This window comes from Homo sapiens, chromosome 7 (genome assembly GCF_000001405.40).
Source record: "Homo sapiens chromosome 7, GRCh38.p14 Primary Assembly".
NCBI classification, from domain to species: Eukaryota; Metazoa; Chordata; class Mammalia; order Primates; family Hominidae; genus Homo; species Homo sapiens.
In genome coordinates, this window is record NC_000007.14 from 10,001 (window position 1) to 18,452 (window position 8,452).

Genomic DNA, 8,452 nt, shown 5'->3' on the forward strand with positions numbered 1-8,452 from the left:
CTAACCCTAACCCTAACCCTAACCCTAACCCTAACCCTAACCCTAACCCTAACCCTAACCCTAACCCTAACCCTAACCCTAACAACCCTAACCCTAACCCTAACCCTAACCCTAAACCTAACCCTAACCCTAACCCTAACAACCCTAACCCTAACCCTAACCCTAACCCTAACAACCCTAACCCTAACAACCCTAACCCTAACCCTAACCCTAACCCTAACCCTAACCCTAACCCTAACCCAACATTCAAAAGCTGAGCAGGGCTTTAAAGCTATCTTATTAATAATTATTTCTGTATTGCGAACTTCAGCATACTTTTTTCTAGTTACATTTGAAATGTTATTCTTTTGGGATGTGCTCAAGTGAGTACTGCTTTTTCCTCTGCCTTGCTTCATTACTTTTTAGTTTCCTTCATTTGAATCATCATTGTAAGTCTCCCCTTCTCCTCAAATAACTTTCAAATTGCTGCCAAGAACTACGTTCTATCTTAAGGCTTTTGAGAAAAAACTTTCAATGAAGATAGCCGCCTAAAGTTATACAAATATAGAAGAAACGGGATAAAATAAAGCTTAGATTGGAAAAAATATTTAAGATTCTACAAAATTCACGCGTAAACAAGGGAAGCTGAGTAATTGTATGTTCAAATACTTTTAACAAGTGCAAAACATGTAGGCTTAAAGAAATAGAGCTGGCCAGGCATGGTGGTTCACGCCTGTAATTCCAACAGTTTGGGAGGCCAAGGCAGGCAGATAACTTGAGGTCAGGAATTCGAGACCAGCCTGGCCAACAGAGTGAAACCCTCTCTCTACTAAAAATACAAAAATTAGGCCAGGAGTGATGGCTCACGCCTGTGATCCCAGCACTTTGAGAGGCCGAGGCGGGTAGATCACCTGAGGTCAGGAGTTTGAGACCAGCCTAACCAACATAGGGAAACCCCGTCTCTACTAAAACTACAACATTAGCCGGGTGTGGTGGCACATGCCTGTAATCCCAGCTACTCGGGAGGCTGAGGCAGGAGAATCCCTTGAACCCAAAAGGCAAAGATTGTGGTGAGCCGAGATTGTGCCATTGCACTCCAGCCTGGGCAAAAACAGCGAAACTCCGTCTCAAAAAAAAAAAAAAGAAAAAATTAGCCAGGCATGGTGAAGTTGCAGTGAGCTGAGACTGCACCATTGCACTCCAGCCTGGGTAGCAGAGCAAGACCCTGTCTCAAAAAAAAAAAAAAAAAAAGAGAGAGAGAGAAAGAAAGAAAGAGGGCTACATTATTTATGAAACAGATACTGTTAACTCAGTCACCAGAAAGCCTGTGTATAAATGAGCAGTGAGATATTCAAGCACAGCACACACACACTTCTCAGGACAGCTGTCGTGAGTGTTCCATGCTCGTTTCCTTCTGGATACATCAGCAACTCACTCTGCTATGATCCTGCAATACATCTCATGTTAGAATTAGAGACATCTGGGCCAGGCACAGTGGCTGACGCCTGTAATCCTAACACTTTGGGAAGCCGAGGCAGGCAGATCACCTAAGGTCAGGAGTTCGAGACCAGCCTGGCCAACATGGTGAAATGCTGTCTCTACCAAAAATACAAAAAATTAGCTGGGCATGGTGGCGCGCGCCTGTAATCCCAGCTACTCGGGAGCCTGAGGCAGGAGAATCGCTTGAACCCGGGAGGTGGAGGTTGCAGTGAGCCGAGATCGTGCCACTGCACTCCAGCATGGGGGACGGAGCAAGGCTCTGTCAAAAAAAAAAAACAGAAAAAGAAAAAGAAAAAAGAATTAGAGACATCTGGATCAAATCAGCTGCCAGTCTCGCAAAGTGTCGGGTAACATCCTATTAAGCTTGCTGCTTACACATCATCTATAAAATACTGAAAATATCATTTTAAGAAATCTTTTTTTTATTTTGAGACAGAGTTTTGCTCGTTGCCCAGGCTGGAGTGCAATGGTGCGATCTCAGCTCACTGCAATCTCTGCCCCCTGGGTTCAAGCAATTCTCCTTCCTCAGCCTCCTGAGTAGCTGGGATTACAGGCATGCACCACCACGCCTGGCTAATTTTGTATTTTCAGTTGAGACAGGGTTTCTCCATATTGGTCAGGCTGGTCTCGAACTCCTGACCTCAGGTGATCCACTGACCTTGGCCTCCCAAAGTGCTGGGATTACAGGTGTGAGCCACCATGCCTAGCCAAGAAACCCTTATTTTAAAACAAGCCAGGCGCGGTGGCTCATGCCTATAATCCCAGCACTTTGGGAAGCCAAGGCAGGTGGATCACTTGACGTCAGTAGTTTGAGACCAGCCCAGGCAACATGTTGTAACCCCATCTCTACTAAAAATATATTTTAAAAATTAGCTGGGCATGTTGGTGGGCACCTGTAATCCCAGCTTCTCAGGAGGCTGAGGCAGGAGAACCACTTGAACCTGGGAGGTGGAGGTTGCAGTGAGCGGAGATCACGCCACTGCACTCTAGCCTGGGTGACAATAGAAAGACTCCATCTCAAAAACAAAACAAAACAAAACAAAACAAAAAACCACTAAAAAAAAGACTCCATTTCAAAAACAAAACTAAAACCAAAAACACAACACAAATGTAGTACACAAATGAAAATAATTACTGTGTTAAACACAGTTTCATAGAAAATAAAAGACCAATCAAATACAATAAGCTGCCTTTTTAGATGGGTATGTTATTCTTCTTTCACAGCTAAAGAAACAGGCTCAGAGAATGTTATTTGATTGGACCGTGTTGCATTTCTGGACAGTGCAGCTGAGATCAGACTTTGCGTGTAACTCCACTAGCCTACCAGGGTGCCTCTCATAAAGGTAAGAAATGTAAATTTGGCCTAATATACAAAGTTGCCAGGGCAGCACTGGGTCAATTCTACATACAGTACTTCTATGTTCATCAAGGGAAACCTTAAGGGAAAGTGAAAATGCTTCTAGAAGGCGACTGGACACCAGCGCCTTTGCTTGTTGCCTTTGGGCTCTTCTTCTAAGGCCAACAGTGACCTGAAATTATTGACTGGCTTTTCCAATCAAGTGGACAAAATGGTACCAAGGTCACCAACATCGATGTAGAACATTGATGTTCTACAACATTGCTTAACGCAAGGGGAGACGCTCCTGACTCAGAGTGTTTAATTGCTCACCTACTTCTTTTTCTGCCCTCTTGGGCTTCTGAAATGAAAAGAACCCTGGGGTGATACAGTGAGTCAAAGGGGTGCCAGCCGCATCACAGCAAAATAGATTCCTAAAAAATCCCTGGCCTAAGATGACAGCCTTGGCTGGATCAGTTTGAATGTGCTGATAGTGGACATGGTAGAATGAAGGTGGTTGAAATGTTCATATTAAAGAACTTCCACCCAGATTGCAAGAAAAGAGAGAAGAATGGAGACGGCAGCACGAGCCCCTACAATAAAAGCAGATGTTTTGAGATCAGTTATATTTCTTCTGACAAAAATTAAAGACAGAAACCAAAGTTTAGCCTGAGACTACAATTAATTGGGCAATAAGCCAGAGGCACATATGGCATAAGACAGATTTAAACATTTCTCCCTGATATTAATACAAACACTAAAATTACAAATACTTTGATTCCAAATAAAACAAATATTTAAAAAATTTAATGAATAAACACTGGGGTCTACAGTAGTATTTGAAGATCTCACAAACAGGTTTGGTTTTTGAAGGTTAGAACTGGTGGTCTAGAGAATTCATTTCATTCCAGAGAAAGAAAGAGAGGAATTTCTTGGGTTCCTTCAGGAATGCGTCTAGCTTTGCCTCATCTTTGTTTGAACTATGGATACGGCAGAAGAAAACATGAGGATTTCACAGATTTAAGGTGCAAAAAGTCACTGGGTTCTCTAAGAAGTCTGGGATTCTTCTGCTGGAAAAATAAGTTTGTTGAGAAAAAATGAGTTGGAGGAGGCTGTTATTGAAGTGAAGCAGAATTGTTTTTACTAGTCTGCTTATTACCCACTCTGTAGTGTGGAAACAAATTATTCATGCACAAGGTCCTCTTACTGTTCCTAGAATGCAGTGGAAAGAGAACAGATTAGTTTTCCTCCCTCAGAACACAACCCCTAGAAACATCCTACCTCAGATGAGATATTGCCTAATTATTTTCAGAAGACAGTGAAACATCATGGATGTAAATGTTTGCTACAAAATAAATACATGCTAGAAACAGAAGCATCTGGGTCACAGCTATATTAGAGCTACCTGTGTTCCCCTGTCACTGACATTAAAACAAAAATGTCCAATACAATCATTCACAGCGTGGGAGAGGGGAAGTTGAAGGATGGAAAGGCCAGGCATAAAAGGATTTCAGAATTTCCGTCCATAAGGAAGTGGCTTTGTGCACTGTCTGTTACTGCGTGCAAGGTGAAATTTGAAGAATGAAAACGTGCAGTAACAAGGGCTCCTTTGTCCAACTCACCTCTCCAGATACCAACTTTCAGACATGTTGCATTTTAATTGAAAGGTTGATATAATTTTTTTTAAAGAACACTTGCGGTGTTTGAAGTGACAAAGGCTGCTGTGACAAAAAAGCAGGGAAAGGGAATTTTTTTTTAAAAGCAAACAACAACAACAGAAACCCCACAGAAAAGCAAACAACAAACAAACAAAAAACAGAGGAAGTAGTCGAACACCCTGGGCTGTGACTACTTCCAGGAAGGGGCTACAAGAGGCAGTTGGAAATTCTATTTGTTTTGCAACTGTGGGTTTTCCGGCCTGCTTCCTTTCTAAAGCATATTACTCTGCTTTTGGTTCATGAAGTTATCCATTTCTGTTTTCTGGAACAGCTATGTATTTTCTTTATCTATCATCTATCTATCTATTTACCATCTATCTTTTCTACCTTTCGCTATCAAGAGCTTGGGTCAAGCAGGATAGAATTCCAGTGTATGTTCACTCTACCATTTAAAACAAGAGCTCTTGTAGGCATTCTCCATCACATCATAAACCTGAGCTTTCTAAAACAGGGTGTGGCAAACTACCATGCATGGACCATGTCTGACACAGTCTGCATTTGTAAGTAAAGTTGTAATGGGACACAGCCAATACATGTGTTACATAATGTCTCTGGCTACTTTCATGGTATAATGGAAGAGCTGAGTCATTGAGAGAGAGAGACCATATGGCTTGGAAAACTTAAAATATTTAACATTTAGCCCCCTGCAGAAAATACTTGCTGACTCTTGTTTTAAAAGATCTCTGTTTAGAATGCTACCTATTGCGTTCTGGATAGAATCACAACTCTTTACCACAATCGACACAGCTTCAGCCCTGCTTCTATATCCAGCCTCATCTATTTCTGCTCCTCCTCCTTATTTTCCTTCTGGCCATGCTGATGGATTGTCAGCTTCCCAGATGTGCAAGAATCTCTCCTCCCTTCCCAACATTCTCATGCTCTCCCTCTGCCTCTGAAGAACTTCCTGCCCCATCTCTCATGACAAATCCTTTCTACATTCTTTAAGATGCAGCCCCTTTGCTCCTTCCTTAAGGATGTCTGTCTGGCTCTATTTTGGGTGACGTGCTCCTTCTGCATCTCCCAGAGCCAGCCTGTGTGTGTCAGCTACAACATTTCTTTGCATCTCTGTGTCATATATCACCAAATCTGCCTAAGCTTGCATGAGTCACTGCATGACAACTTCAGACTCCACCAGCATTGTCCCCACTAACCACAAGGCTTAGACATTCGTCCAGTATGCTCGGGGTTGTGGGGTGGTAGCAGTAACCGGCTGGTGACCATCATTTCTTACATCAGAATCAAATCTGTAGATCTCTGCCATTCATAAGTATTTGGAGTTTAAAATTAGCATAAAGATTTTCCTTAAAATAAGAACAAATGGCTTGAGTAGGCTTTTGGAACACAGGATGTTTCCACTGGTTCATTTCTGTGTTCAATATTCCCACATGAATCTAAACACGGCTCTGCTCTTAGTAGCTATGTGACCCTAGGAAAGTCACTCAATCTCCCTCAGCTAAATTTTGTTGTGTGAGTAATGAGGAGAGAGTTGTGATTTGTATTTAGTGAAAAATAACAAACAAAAGGCATTTAGATTTCTGGAACCTGGTATGTAGTAGAACCTCATGAAATACTAGCTCTGTTGAAAAAACTAGACTGAAAGAAGCTTACAAAGTCAACAAGAGTTTGAAGCAGTGAAGGACTTAGAGGAGGAGCTGCTGCTGCAGCCTGTAGCTCCTGGAAGCCCGTTTTGTCCATGATTTAGCAGGAATGCATTACCCTTCCATGAGGAGGCACTGCCCACAGAAACCAAGGCCATTCTTTGAAGACAAACATGTCTTAATAGCCTTTACATTATGTAATAGTGTAATACAAATAATAATTTATTATAATAATGTGAAATTATTTACAGTACCCTAACCCTAACCCTAACCCCTAATCCTAACCCTAACCCTAACCCCTAACCCTAATCCTAACCCTAACCCTAACCCTAACCCTAACCCCTAACCCTAACCCGAAAACCCTAACCCTAAAACCCTAACATAACCCTTACCCTTACCCTAATCCTAACCCTAATCCTTACCCTTACCCTTACCCTGACCCTAACCCTAATCCTTACCCTTATCCTACCCCTAACCCTTAACCCCTAACCGCTAGCCCTAACCCTTAACCCTAACCATAACCCTAACCCTCATCCTCATCCTCACCCTCACCCCTAACCGTAACCCCTAACCCAAACCCTAACCCTGAACCCTAACCCTAAACCCAACCCAAACCCTAACCTGAACCCTAACCCGAACCATAAACCTGAACCCTAAATCCGAACCTGAACCCGAACCCTAACCATAACCCAAACCCGAACCCAAACCCTAACCCCTAACCCCTAACCCTAACCCTACCCTAACCCAACCCTAACCCAACCCTAACTCTAGCCCTAGCCCTAGCCCTAGCCCTAAGCCCTAAGCCCTAAGCCTAACCCCAACCCCAACCCCAACCCTAACCCTAACCCTAACCCTTCCTCAGCCTCTCAACCTGCTTGGGTTATAGGTATGAGCCCGGGTGCCTGGCCAAACATTCCATTTTATATGTATATGCTAGGAATGAATAATCTCTACACCAAATTATGAAAATTCTACCTTAAACAATACCAATAGCAATATTATACTTAGGAATAAATGGAATGAAACGACAAGACTTAGATGAGGGAAATTATAAGACATTACTTAAGGAAATTAAACTTCCAGTAAATGTAAAAATGTATCTTATTTGTGGATTTGTAGACCACATTGTTAAGTTTCCCAAAGTACACAAAGCAATCCGTGGATTCGATGTTATTCCTACAAAAATCCCAAAGGCCTTGGGACAGAAGTGGATAAGCTGATCCTGATCACATCCCAATTTCAAATTTTATTACAAAGGAACAGTAATAAAAACAGTGGGATCCTTGCACAGGAATAAACAGAAAGATCAACTGAATTGAATTGGGAGTCCAGACAGAAAACAATACCTCTATGCTCAACTGATTTTAGACAAGGTCCATTACCAGTAAATTGGGGAAAGAATCCTGTCCTCAACAAGTGATGTAAGGCAACTTGCTATCCACATAAAGGGAAATGAAATTGTATCCTTACCTCATACCACATAAAAAATTAACTTACAATGGATCAAAGACCAAAACAGGTGAAAACTAAAAACTCTGGAAGAAAACGTACAGTTAAGCATTCATGACCTTACACGTAGCAATAGTTTCCTACATCTGACACCAAAAGCACAGACCACAAAAGGAAAAATAAATCAATTTATTTCCTCAAAATTCACAACTTTTACGTCTCAGAAGACATGAAGAAAAAAGTTGAAAGACAAAATGTTATAATAGGAAAAACAACTGTCTTATAGTATACTCTCAACACTCACAGAACACTTCTGTTACCAGATACATGGGTTTTTTCCCCACACAGACCAAATCTTGGGTACCAGCTGCGTGTCCTACAGTGCAATCCAATTGTGACAGTAAATGGAGAAAGCATCAGACCCCACAGGCTAAGGGCTCAGTCCTAGGAATACACGTCATGCCCCTTGTCGCTTGCAAATTTAAATGACAAACACAAGGATGGTAAAAAGAAAGTGACTTTATGCCAGAGCTTAGCTGAAGGGAACATACAGGCTCTTGCCTTAAGGGAAGCGCTTCCACTTTCTGGGCAGAAAGCTGGGCTTTCGGACTTGCCAGAATGGCATGCAGGGGATGAGGTGAGGAGGTGCGGGGTCTATGGGACATGCTCTGATGTTTTCTCCATTAGGTGGTCTTGCTAGCACCACCACGGGCAGAGCCAGGTTGTAAATTGACTGTTGTCTGCTGCCAATCTACTGGTGGGGGAGAGATATGGAAGTGCCAGTTTGTTTCAAGGTTTGGTCCCTGGAACTTATAAGTAATCACACAGTTGGAAAAGTTTGCAGTATAGGAAGTGTCTGGTGGAGAGACAGT

At 42.3% G+C, this 8,452-nt stretch overlaps 1 long non-coding RNA gene across 3 annotated transcripts; it reads right to left on the reverse strand.

The window, feature by feature from the left end:
- Positions 1-3,604: 3,604 nt before the first annotated feature.
- On the reverse strand, positions 3,605-6,154 carry LOC102723872 (uncharacterized). Of its 3 annotated transcripts, none has more exons than XR_002956529.1 (2): positions 3,979-6,154; positions 3,605-3,882 (listed from the first exon to the last, which is right to left on the reverse strand). It is a non-coding gene; the product is annotated as an uncharacterized LOC102723872 (long non-coding RNA). The 3 variants fall into 3 exon arrangements; XR_002956530.1 differs by having other exon boundaries at positions 3,605-3,885; XR_002956531.1 differs by having other exon boundaries at positions 3,605-3,885; positions 3,975-6,154.
- Positions 6,155-8,452: the final 2,298 nt, after the last annotated feature.